We start from the raw sequence: 13,829 nt of genomic DNA on the forward strand, positions 1-13,829 counted from the left end.
CCAGGTATGGTGGCTCATGCCTATAGTCCCAACACTTTGGGAGGTCGAGATGGGAGAAGCGCTTGAGTCCAGAGGTTCGAGATCAGCCTGGGCAACAAAGTGAGACATTGTCTCTACAAAAAAATAAAAAATAAAAATTAGGCATGGTGTTGTGTGCCTATACTCCCAGCTACTCAGGAGGCTGAGGTGAGATGATTGCTTGAGCCCAGAGGTTGAGGATGCAGTGAGCTGTGATTGTGCTACTGCACTCCAGCCTGGGCAATGGAGTAAGACCACATCTCAAAAAAAAAAAAAAAAGATAAGAGAAAAACAGGTCAGTGGTGACTCACTAAGGTAAGCAGTATAGCCATGTGACTCACCATTTCCACTTCTAGATCTATACTCAAAAGAATTAAAAACAGGTCTTCAAATAAAAACGTATACATGAAACATTCATGGTAACACTATTCATAATTGCCAAAAGGTGGAAACAACTCAAATGTCCATCAACTGATGATGGGATAAACTAAAGGTAATATCCCCACAAAATGGAATATTATTCAGCCATAAAAAGGAATGAAATGCTGATATGTGCTACAATGTGGATGAACTGTGAAAACAGTATACTAAGTGAAAGAAGCCAGTCACAAAAGGCCACATATTGTTCAATTCCATTTGTTTGAAACTTCCAGAATAGGCGAATCCATGTAGAGAGCAAAGCTGGAGGGAGGAGAAAAACAGGGAGGACTGCTCAATAGGTGTGGGGTTTCCGTTTGGGGTGATAAAACTACTCTGTAATTAGATTGTGGTGATGATTGCACAGCATTGTGAATGTAGTAAATGCCACTGAATTGTACACTTTAACATGGTAAAATTGGTACATTTTATGTTTTATGTTGTACCACAATAAAAAAAAAAAAAAAATTGGCCAGGCGCGGCGCTCACACCTGTAATCCCAACATTTTGGGAGGCCGAGACAGGCAGATCATGAGGTCAGGAGTTCAAGACCAGCCTGACCAACATGGTGAAACTCCCTCTCTACTAAAAATATAAAATTATCTGGGCGTGGTGGCGCGCACCTGTAGTTCCAACTACTCAGGAGGCTGAGGCAGGAGAATCGCTTGAATCTGTGGGGTGGAGGTTGCAGCAAGCCGAGATTGCACCACTCTACTCCAGCCTGGGTGACAGAGCGAGACTCCGTCGCAAAAAAAAAAAAAAAAAGAAAAGAAAGAAAAAGAAAAGAAAAAAAAGAAAGAAAAGAAAAAAATTTAATTTTTATTTATTTTTATTTTATTTTGAAGCAGGGTCTCACTCTGTCGCCCAGGCTGGAGTGCAGTGGTGTGATCTTGGCTCACTGCAACCTCCACCTCCTGGGTTCAAGTGATTCTCCTGTCTCAGCCTCCTGAGTAGCTGGGACTACAGGCACCCACCACTATGCCCGGCTAACTTTTTTGTATTTTTAGGAGAGATGAGGTTTCACCATGTTGATCCGGCTGGTCTCGAACTTCTGACCTCAGGTGATCCACTTGCCTCGGCCTCCCCAAGTGCTGGGATTACAGGCATGAGCCACCGCTTCCGGCCTGCCTTTGCTTTTAAATGCAAGCTTATAACGAAGTACGAGCCAAAAATGCTTCATTTAAAATCATTTGACAGCCACAGATTATTACTTTAAACCTGCTGGAGTGACCAGTTCTCAGGACTGGAAGTTGTAGAAATGACCAAGTAAGGAGGATGGTTTTGTGTACATGTAGCTCATCACTGAAATCAACACAGAGTTTCCCTATGTTTAATGTCAGGTCACCTACACATGTGCATGTGGTAAATATATACATCATTATATTGAGCACTACCAGGAACAGAAACATCTAATTTCTTTTTGGTGGAAAATACAGAAAATTCTTTCACAAAAACAGAGAAAAGAAAAAGAAAAAACATACAATTTTGGGTTTCCTATGAATTTCTGAGTAGAAAAACAACATCTAAGGTTACTATTTTAAAATCAAATTAGATAACTTTTTATGACAGGAAACTATCCGAACAATGACACCTTACTTCCTGTAAACTATGAGTAAATTCCACACATTCCCATGTTTACATAACCACAGCCCAGGGCTACAATTCCCACATCTTAGTCACATAAATATGTGTTTCGTTTATCATTAGAAAATAAACATGCTTTATATTCTGAGGTCTAACTTAATGGTTTGAACAATATGTAAAAGACTAAACAAACTAAAATATGTGAAACATTAACACTTGAGAAAGGTTTACATGGTCCCAGTTTACTTCCACTTTTACTGAGACATCACTGCTGAATAATTGAAAGGCTCTCAAAAAACTCCAATCTAATTTTGTGTTATTAATCTGAACATCTTTCCTAACAAAGTTCTTTCATCACTGGAAATATGGCAACCCTTTTCCCTTCCTAGCCTAGAAGCAGCAATGAATTGACACAAGACACAGACTGCTCTGAAATCACAAACGTGTTTGGGATTTCTTAAGCTAAAAGGAAAAGGGAAAGGGAAAGGCTTAAAGCAGCATTGCCCAAAAGGAGTTCCCTGGAACACCCAGAACACCAGTCCCCTGAGATAGCCATTGACACATGGCCGAGGTCTGATAATTGCCATCCATAGTTTGTCCCTCTTGGAGGGTCACAGAAGTTCACACAGTTAAGATCCTGCTTACCCTTGTTTAACTCTACATCCCCATACTTATTTGACCCCTCCTTTTTTCTAGTAACATGATTAACATTCCACAGGCACCTCGGGCATTGCTGGTTGGGTCAGTTCTGTTAAATTTATGACCTGGTATTTTGGACAATCATTGAGTCGATCCTGAGAACCAACCTGGTTTGTCAGATGTCAAGATGTTTTGATGTTTTGTCAAGATGTTTGATCTTGCAAAGTCATGATAACCCCACACCAGCAGAAAGAACAAGTGTCAGTCTTTTTTGTCCCTCATCCAGTTTCTTTCCGGCCTGTTAGCACTTCCAAGTCCCTTTGGTAGTAAATGTTCTTTCTGAGATGCAGGGTGTCTGGTCTGACAGTGACTACCAATTTCCTCTTTGGTATCTACCTGAGGGAGTTGCCAAAACTGCCATTACAAAAAAAGGAAGGCACCCCTATTTTCCACCCACACTGCTTTCCTGTCATAGAATATGCAGATATGCCTGATCCGTCACCATACTTAAGAGCTCCATCTCTGGAGTCACACTGCCTGGGTTCAAATTCCAGGCTTCACTGCTTCACAGATGTTACACTGGGCAAATTGCTTTGCCCCTCTGAGCCACAGTTTTTTCATCTGTAACACAGGAGAACAATAAAAGTACCCACCTTTTAAAGAAAAGATTAAAAATGACAATGCTTGTGCTGGGCACCTAACAAATATTTACAGCTATTATTTCTCATTCCTCTGACCCCCTTCATAGCTAATGTAGTTTTAACAGCTAGGACAGAGGACAGAGGAAATGGAAACCATAGGGGAAGAGGAAGAAGGGTGTCTGCGGATGTTTTAGCTATATTTACACTGTGAGATGCAGAAGACAGAGAGACAAAAGCAGAGATCAGAGCTTCAAGGCCCAGAAAAGTAACAGGTGAGTCCCAGACTGAAAAAGAAAAACCTGATCTAAAAGAACAGGCCTCCATTTATGAGACCCTGCCTAGCGCTTCGATATTCATCATGCCAAAAGCTTGGGTTCAAGCCCCATGGGATGTATGTGGCTTCTTTCTATTCAACAGCCCCCATATGTCACCTTAACAAAGGTACGGAGCTGGTGGGTTAACACAAATTCAGTCACCATCACTGGGGCCACATTCCCCCGATTCCCTGACACACCTCCCCAACTATGGGAGGGCAAACAGAGCTGAGTCCCTTGATCTATTTGGTAGAAGAAGTGGATGCTCAATAAATATTTGTTGAATAAATAAGTGTCTGAATGAAAGACAATCAGGTAAGTACATGAATAACTGAGGGTGAATAGCAGAGTGATTATTAGTTTTCAAGCAATTTCTATTTATCTTTTAGGACAAGGATGGGCAAACTTTTTCTGTAAAGAGCCACATAGTGAATATTTTAAGCTTTGTGGTTCCTATGATCTCTGTTGCAATTACCCAACTCTGCACTGTAGTTTGAAAGCAGACATAGACAATATGTCAATGAATGGACACAGTTGTGTTTCATTAAAAGTTTACATACGTACACAGAAATCTGAAGTTTGCATAATTTTCATGTCATAAATTCTTCTTTTTTTTCCCTACCCGTTTAAGAATGTAAAAATCTTTTGGCTCACAAGTCATATAAAAACAGGTGACAGGCAGAGGTGACCCTTGAGCTATAGTTTGCGGGATCCTGTTTTAGAAAATAAGTAAGACTGGACGCGGTGGCTCACGCCTGTAATCCCAGCACTTTGGGAGGCCGAGGGAAGTGGATCATCTGAGGTCAGGAGTTCCAGACCAACCTAACCAACATGGAGAAACCCTCTCTCTACTAAAAATACAAAATTAGACGGGCATGGTGGCGCATGCCTGTAATCCTAGCTACTTGGGAGGCTGAGGCAGGAGAATCGCTTGAACTCAGGAGGCAGATGTTGCAGTGAGCCGAGATCACGCCATTGCACTCCAGCCTGGGCAACAAGAGCGAAACTCCGTCTCAAAAAAAAAAAAAAAAAGAAAATGATAAATAGATGAGGAGGTAGGGAGACAACAAAATATTTATTGAGCATCTACTGTGTGCCAATGACCGTGCTAAGTGCTGCTGAGAATGTAGCAGGGAAGACAAACAGGCCGAGTCCCTTCCCTTAGGAAGCACATGTTTTAAACAGGAGAACCTCATAGCAAACAAGGTAATTGCAGACTGGGTACTTGGTATAGAGGAAACAAACAGGATAATGAAATTGACCAGGGGAGGTCATTTTAGAGAGGCAAGAGGCTCAGTGCTTTCTCACACGTGACCATGTTTAACCCGCTGAACACCCTGTGGGGTATCATCCCCATCTTAGAGATGGGAAAGTGATGTCTGAAACCTCGCAAATGGTCACTAAAGAAGCCAGGCCGCAAACCTAGGGCCGGTCTGCGAGTGCTGTGCTCTGTGGGTGGTTGGAAAGGGGATTAGCTAGATAAGGGGTCAGGAGTCCCAGGTCCAAATCCTCACTCCATGCTTCACTCCTCAAAGCTTCGGTTCCAAAGATGGAAAAAGAAGATAATTGGGATGGTTGTGAACATTATGTAAGAACCTATGGGCCGGGAGTGGTGGCTCACGCCTGTAATCCTAGCACTTTGGGAGGCCAAAGTGGGCAGATTGCCTGAGCTCAGGAGTTTGAGACCAGCCTGGCCAACATGATGAAACCCTGTCTCTACTAAAAATACAACAATAACAAAAAAATTAGCCAGTGGTGGTGGCGTGCGCCTGTAATCCCAGCTACTCTGGAGGCTGAGACACGAGAATCGCTTGAACCCTGGAGGTGGAGGTCGCAGTGAGCTGAGATCGCACCACTGCACTCCAGCCTGGGAGACAGAGTGAGACTCTGTCTCAAAAAATAATAATAATAAAAATAAAAAAGGCTGGTGCGGTGTCTCACGCCTGTAATCCCAGCACTTTAGGAGGCTGAAGCAGGCGGATTACCTGAGGTCAGGAGTTCAAGACCAGCCTGGCCAACATGGTGAAACCCTGTCACTACTAAAAATATAAAACTTAGCCGGGCATGCTGGTGTGCACCTGTAATCCCAGCTACTCAGGAGGCTGAGGCAGGAGAATTGCTTGAACCTGGGAGGCAGAGGCTGCAGTGAGCTGAGATCATTCCACTATGCTCCAGCCTGGGCTACAGAGCGAGACTCTGTCTCAAAAAAAAAAAAAAATTAGCTGGGTATGGTTGCACATACCTTTAGCCCCAGCTACTCAGGAGGCTGCGACAGGAGGATTGCTTGAACCCAGGAGTTCAAGGCTGCAGTAAGCCATGACTGCACCACTGCACTCCAGCCTGGGCGACAGAACAAAACTCCATCTCTAAAATAAAAATAAAGAATAAAAAGTTGGGGCCCCGCTCTGCACTGATAATCAGAATTGTGGGCTCATGGCTATCTTGAGAGAGAAATATCAGGGAAGACAGCTTTCCACAGGCATTCAAAGGACACAGTATTTAATTACCAAACAAGTGACCGTGACACGTATACAAATACCTTAGGACAATATGTTGTTTCCTGAAATTCTTAGGAGGAAAAAAACATCATATGACTATAAGCTGAAATTTTTAAATTAATGCAATTATTTACCCATGATCAAGATGATACTTGTGGGCAAGAAGTGGAAGAAAAAAGAAAATATTAATAGATAAAGAATGTAATCACATCCTGAGAGTGATGAAAAATTAGAAAAAAAATTAAAAAATTAAAAATTTTTTTAAAAAAGAATATAATCATTTAGCAAATAGCATAAGATATGAGACTTAGGGAGATCTAAGAGAAAACACAAAGACATTGAATATTAATAGTAGTCCAAAGAGCTTTTGCTGAAAAATAATTGAGCATGAAAATGATACAACTACCCGACAGGTATTTATCTACAATACCAGCAATGCTGAATGTGAAACACTGTAGAAATGTCCAGAGACTCAAGGTTTTCTGTCCTTTCAAAGTGCATCACCAGTCAGAGTCCCCACAGAGAAGTAGATGGCATATTCAACTCTGCATAATTCCAAGAGGATTTAGTAAAGATGCTATTTGTAAATACAGATACGGTACAGAAAACCCCAAGGAAAAGTGCAGGTTCCTGGGGCTAGCAAGCAGTGCTGTCTACTCCAAGGCCTTAAGGATGCAAGAAAGGAGTGGTCATGGGGACCCTGACATGCATGTAGAGAGGACATGCTGAGAGAACCAGTGGCCTTCTACTTGAGGACACAGCCAAGCTCTCCACCTCCCCTCTACCTGCTGGGGTTCCCCACTGGCCAAACCCAACCGGAAGCCAGAGGATCCTTTGATGTGGTTCATAAGGGCCAGACTCCCCCAGGAGAGGGCAGGGTGGAGAAGTGTGGAGAGGGGAAACAGAGGGACAAAAGGAAGATTTCCAGTCTTTCCAGATCCAGTTATTGGACCTGTCTGAGATACATAAATGGAAAAAAAAACAACAGAGAAAGAATGCTTTTCTGGTGTGCTGGAAATCTTCTGTTTGTGTGTGTGTAAGTGTGTGTATCTATCTATATATGTGTGTGTGTGTGTGTATGTATATATGTGTGTGTGTATCTGTGTGTGTGTGTGTGTGCGTGTGTGTGTGTATATGTATATATACAAAACAGAGAAAGAATGCCTTTCTGGTGTGCTGGAAATCTTCTGTTTGTGTGTGTGTGTGTATATATATATATATATAGAGAGAGAGAGAGAGAGAGAGAAAGAGATATGGAGTCTTGCTCTGTCACCAAGGCTGGAGTTCAGTGGCACGATCTTGGCTCATTGCAACCTCTGTCTCCCGGGTTCAAGTGATTCTCTTGAACAAGTAGCTGGGATTACAGACTCCCACCATGAAGTCCAGTTTATTTTTGTATTTTTAGTAGAGACGGGGGTTTCACCATGTTGGTTGGGCTCGTCTTGAACTCCTGACCTCAAGTGATCCGCCCACCTCAACCTCCCAAAGTGCTAGGATTACAGGCGTGAGCCACCGAGCCTGGCCTCCATATTTTAAAAACAGAAAATTCCCTTGACCTTTGTATTGCTTCCCTGTGGCTGTAGTAAAAACTGAGTGGCTTAAAATAACATGCCTGTAATCCCTGCAGTTCGGGAGGCCAAGGCAGGCAGATCGCTTGAGCTCAGGAGTTCGAGACCAGCCTGTGCAACATGGTGTGAAACCTCATCTCTATAAAAAATACAAAAATTAGCTGGGTTTGGTGGCTGGTCTCCCAGCTACTCGAGAGACTGAGATGAGTTGGATTGCTTGGGACCAGGAGGTCAAGGCTGCAGTGAGCCGTGATCACACCCCTGCACTTCAACCTGGGTGACAGAGCAAGACCCTGACTCAAAAAAAAGAAAAAACAAACAAACAAACAAAAAACAGATGTTTATTCTTTCCTACTTCTAGAGACCAGAAGTCCCAAGTCCCAAATCCAGGTATTAGTATATACTCTTGGGCTCTTCCAGCTCCTGGTGGCTGTTGGTGCTCCTTGGCTTGTGACTACATCACTCCAATCGCTGCCTCTGTGGTCACATCACTTCCTTCCCTCCTTCGTGTCTTCTCTTCTCCTGTCTCAAATCTCCCTCTGCCAAGGACATTTGTCATTGGATTTAGGGCCCATTGGATAATCCAGGATAATCTCCTCATCTCAAGATTCTTAATTGAATTGTATCTGCAAAGACTCTTTTTCCAAATAAGGTAACATTCATAGGTTCAGATAATTCCTGAATTATCTTTATGTGGCTATAAGAAGTCATAGACTGCCAATTAATAAATGTAAAAGTGATGAAAGAATTGGAAAACCACAAGTCTGCAGCCACCACTGAAAACTGACTCAGCCCAGGATCATTTAAAATGCTGAAACCATTGGATGAAAGGTCACTGGAGAAAAGGATATTCACACACAAACTATCACCCAACATATTACTTATTAATTAGAAAAGGGATAGGTACCTTTACAATGAAAAAGTCTAGTGAAAGCTACCTAAACCAAATGATCAGGCCTCGTGCTGACATCATCGGATGTGATTCACTGAGAAGAACCCAACATCAACAAAAACGTATAATCTGGATCTACTTATGAGGAAACAGCAAAGCCAAATCAACAGACATTCTGCAGAATAACTGAGCTGGACTCTTCAAAAATAGCAGTATTAAGATATTCCCAAAACAGTGCAGGGAAGGCATTAAGATTAAAGCCATGATAACTGGATGCAATGCCTGATTTTCAACTGGATCCTGGAATCAAAAAAAAAAAAAAAGAGCTATGAAGAGCAAATATAGACTGTATGTTCGGTAACGGTATAATACCAAGGTTAAATTTCATTATGTAATAATTATATTATGGTTATGTAGGAAAATATTCCTATTCTTCACAGTTACTTAAATGCAAAGGCCACAGTGACTGCATCTTACTTTCAAATGGTTTAGAAAGGGGGTTGGGAGGAAGAGCCAGTGTTAATACAGCAAAATGTTAACTGGTGAACCTAGATAAAAACAATACAGGTGTTCATTGTACCTTTATTTCAACTTCTCTCTAGATTTAAAGTTTTCAAAACAAGTTGAGGTGGGAATAGAGTTACAGCATATGAATATTATTTCTTTATAAGGAAGCTTCTCATTGGCTTCAAAAACACACACTACTTTACTTAAATTCCTTTTCTGCATTACCTGCACTGCCATCTCCCACCTGCCAAAGCCACCCCATACCCCCACCCCAACTATCTTTTCCACCCCATGCAACAGACCAATCAAGCTGGATGCCCAGCTAGGTCTGCCAGTAAATTTCTCAAAAACATCTTCATACTGCCAACCATCTCAGTCACACAAACCATTGATTCTCAACCTCAGCTGAGCCTCAGAATCAGCTGGGGAGCTTTTTACAAATGCAGACACCCCAGAGCCAACCACAAAGATCCTGACTCACTTAATCTGGGGTAGAGCCTGTGCACCTGTATTCTATTTTTTAAAGCTCTGAAGTCTGATGAACAATCATGAATGTGAACCCCTGGAACAAACCTTTCCATGTGAGTTTCTGTTCATTTGTCTATTTCCTCTGGTTAAGAATTATCATTTTGGTGGGGCGCGGTGGCTCACACCTGTAATCCCAACACTTTGGGAGGCCAAGGTGGGTGTATCACCTGAGGTCAGGAGTTCAGGACCAGCCTGGCCAATATGGTGAAACCCTGTCTCTACTAAAAATACAAAAAATTAGCTGGGCATAGTGGCACACACCTGTAATCCCAGCTACTCAGGAGGCTGAGGCAGGAGAATCACTTGAACCCAGGAGTCGGAGGTTGCAGTGAGCCAAGATCGCACCACTGCACTCCAGCCTGGGCGAAAGAGCAAGACCCCTTCTCAAAAAAAAAAAAGAATTATCATTTTGACAGTAAGGAAATTCTAAAATTTTTAAACATTTCAGTAGGTGCTTACCACACTTGATTACCTATAATCTATACAAATTTAACTTGGATGTAAATCTTGATGTAATGAGGCAACAAAAATAAGTCAGATACGTATTTTATAAAAGGAATACCAGTTGGCCAGGCGTGGTGGCTCACACCTGTAATCCCAGAACTTTGGGAGACCAAGGTGGGTGGATCACTAGACATTAGGAGTTTGAGAGCAGCCTGACCAACATGGTGAAACCCAGTCTCTACTAAAAATACAAAAATTAGCCAGGCATGGTGGCAGGCACCTGTAATCCCAGCTACTCAGGAGGCTGAGGCAGGAGAATTGCTTTAACCTGGGAGGCAGAGATTGCAGTGAGCCAAGGTTGCACCACTGCACTCCAACCTCGGCCACAGAGTGAGACTCCATCTCAAAAAAAAAAGGAATACCAGTCATTTACAGAAGTCAATTATATGAAATATTAAATTGCCCATTAATTCTGGAAAAAATACTAAAGTATTTGAAAACAATTCCATATATAGTTCCATGTTTTCCTCTTTCAATTATTATTATTTCCTTTTTTTTTTTTTTTTTTTTTTAGAGATGGAGTTTTGCTCTTATTGCCTAGGCTGGAGCATAGTGGTGCAATCTCCACTCACTGCAACCTCCACTTCCCAGGTTCAAGCGATTCTCCTGCCTCAGCCTCCCAAGTAGCTGGGATTACAGGCACCCGCCACCACGCCCAGCTAACTTTGGTATTTTTAGTAGAAACGAGGTTTCACCATGTTGGCCAGGCTGGTCTCAAACTCCTGACCTCAGGTGATCCACCTGCCTCGGCCTCCCAAAGTGCTGGGATTACGGGCGTGAACCACTATGCCCGGCCTTCCTCTTTCAATTATTATAAGGTCATTTCAAAGTGCTATGGCAGATGAGGTCCAGTGTCTGAGAGTGCAAAGTACCTGTCTATGGCCTGACAACTGCTCTAAACCATGATATCCTTATCTTAAAAATGGGGATAATAAAATCTATCTTTGGCTATAATCAAAATCACAAATAACAAGTGTTAGGGAGAATGTGAAGAAACTGGAGCTCTCACACTGCTGATGGAATGTAAAATGGTGCATTTGCTTTGGAAAAGTTTGGCAGTTTCTCAAAAGAGGAAACAAAATTCTCATGTCGCCTAGGAATTCCTCTCCTAAGGGTTTACCCAAAGAAATGAAAACATATGTCCATATAAAAATTTGTACATGACTGTTCATAGCAGCATCTTTTTTTTTTTTTTTTTTTTTTTTGAGATGGAGTTTTGCTCTTGTTGCCCAGGCTGTAGTGCAACGGCACGATCTCGGCTCACTGCAACCTTTGCCTCCCGGGTTCAAGCGATTCTCCTGCCTCAGTCTCCCTAGTAGCTGGGATTACAGGCGGATGCCACAACGCCCAGCTAATTTTTGTATTTTTAGTAGAGACGGGGTTTCACCATGTTGGTCAAGGCTAGTTTCAAACTCTTGACCTCAGGTGATCCACCCCCGTCAGCCTCCCAAAAGTGCTGGGATTACAGGCGTGAGCCATCTCGCCCGGCCAGCAGCATCATTCTTATTCATATTGGGCAAATACTGGAAACAACCCAAATGAGAAATAGATAAACAAATTGTACTACATTTAATTCATGCAATGGAATACTATTCATCCATGAAAGAGAATGAAGAACTGACACATGCTATAACACGGATGAACCTTGAAAACATTATGCTATGTGAAAGAAGCCAGTCAGGCCAGGTGTGGTGGCTCACACCTGTAATCTCAGCACTTTGGGAGGCTGAGGTGGGTGGATCACTTGAGGTTGGGAGTTCAAGACCAGCCTGGCCAACATGGTGAAACCCCATCTCTACTAAAAGTACAAAAATTAGCTGGGTGTGGTGGTGGACACCTGTAATCCCAGCTACTTGGGAGGCGGAAGCAAGAGAATTGCTTGAATCCGGGAGGCAGAGGTTGCAGTGAGCCAAGATCGCGTCACTGCACTCCAGCCTGGGTGACATAGGGAGACTCCATCAAAAAGGAAACGGGAGGGGAAGGGAGAGGAAGGGAGGGGAGTGGGGGAGAAGGGAGTGGAGTGGAGGGGAGGGGAACGGAGGGGAGGGGAGCGGAGGGGAAGCGAGAAAGGAAGAAGCCAGTCACAAAAGACCACATATTATATGAAATGTCCAGGAGAGACAAATCTGGAGACAGAAAGTACATTAGTGGTTGCCTAGGACTGGACGAGTTGAGAAGATGTGGGGAGTGACTGGTAATAGGCACGAGGTTTCTTTGTGGAGCAATAAGAATGCCCTAAAATTGATTCTGGTGATGGTTGCACAATTCTGTGACTATATTTAAAACCACCGAATTTACACTTTAAGTGGGTGAATTACATTTATGTGAATCATATCTCAATAAAACTATTCTTTAAAACAATAAACCTAATCCCAGCACTTTGGGAGGTCGACGCGGGCGGATCATGAGGTCAGGAGATGGAGACCATCCTGGCTAACATGGTGAAACCACGTCTCTACTAAAAAAAAAAAAAAAATGCAAACAATTAGCCAGGCGTAGTGGCAGGCACCTGTAGTCCCAGCTACTCCGGAGGCTGAGGCAGGAGAATGGTGTGAGCTCGGGAGGTGGAGCTTGCAGTGAGCCGAGATCGCGCCGCTGCACTCCAGCGTGGGCGACAGAGTGAGACTCCATCTCAAAAAAAAAAAAAAACCAATAAACCTATCTTTCATCATTTTTTTTTCTTTTTGAGACAGAGTCTCACTCTGTCACCCAGGATGGAGTGCAGTGGCGCGATCTCGGCTCAGTGCAACCTCCGCCTCCGGGGTTCAAGCGATTCTCTGGCCTCGGCCTCTCTAGTAGCTGAGATTACAAGTGCCCGCCACCACGTCTGGCTAGTTTTTGTATTTTTAGTAGAGAGGGGGTCTCACCATGTTGGCCAAGCTGCTCTCAAACTCCTGACCTCAGGTGATCCACCCACCTCGGCCACCCAAAGTGCTGGGATTACAGGCGTGAGCCACCGCACCCGGCCACACTAACATTTTATAAAGCAATGGTTCTTAGAAGTACCTCTCAGTATCATTTGTGCCTTTCCAAAATACAGCCATCTGGTCCCCACTCCATACCCAATGAATGAGAATCTCCAGGGTTAATACCTGGGCAGATGTCCTTTATAAAAGTTCCAGAGTGACTTGCTATGTCATTACTAATATAAAAAACCAATGTTAGGCCAGGCGTGGTGGCTCATGCCTGTAATCCCACCACTTTGGGAGGCCAAGGCAGGTGGATCATCTGAGGTCAGGAGTTCGAGACCAGCCTGGCCAACAAGGAGAAACTCCGTCTCTACTAAAAATACAAAATTAGCCAGGAGTGGTGGCACATGCCTGTAATCCCAGCTACTTGGGAGGCTGAGGCAGGAGAATCGCTTGAACCCAGGAGGTGGAGGTTGTGGTGAGCCAAGATCAGGACATTGCACTCCAGCCTGGGCAACAAGAGCAAAACTCAATCTTAAAAAAAAAAAAAAAAAAAAAAAAAAAAAGCCAATGTTAAAAATCTGGCCCAGGCATGGGGGCTCACGCCTGTAATCCCAGCACTTTGGCAGGCTGAGGTGGAAGTCTCACTGGAGCCCAGGAGTTTGAGACCAGCCTGGGCAACGTAGGGAGAGTCTATCTCTCCAAACTTTAAAAATTAGGGCCGGGCACAGTGGCTCACACCTGTAATCCCAGAACTTTGAGAGGCTGAGGCAGGCGGATCATGAGGTCAAGAGTTCGCGACCAGCCTGG

General features: G+C 43.4%; 1 long non-coding RNA gene across 1 annotated transcript in view; it reads right to left on the bottom strand.

Moving 5' to 3' along the window:
• Positions 1 to 8,004: 8,004 nt before the first annotated feature.
• LINC00862 (long intergenic non-protein coding RNA 862) overlaps positions 8,005 to 13,829 on the bottom strand; it is a 31,249-nt gene continuing 25,424 nt past the window's right edge. The window contains exon 5 of the long non-coding RNA NR_040064.1: positions 8,005 to 8,871. This is a non-coding gene — a long non-coding RNA (long intergenic non-protein coding RNA 862). The remainder of the gene's footprint in view (positions 8,872 to 13,829) is intronic.

The sequence above is a fragment of the Homo sapiens genome, chromosome 1 (assembly GCF_000001405.40).
Source record: "Homo sapiens chromosome 1, GRCh38.p14 Primary Assembly".
NCBI classification, from domain to species: Eukaryota; Metazoa; Chordata; class Mammalia; order Primates; family Hominidae; genus Homo; species Homo sapiens.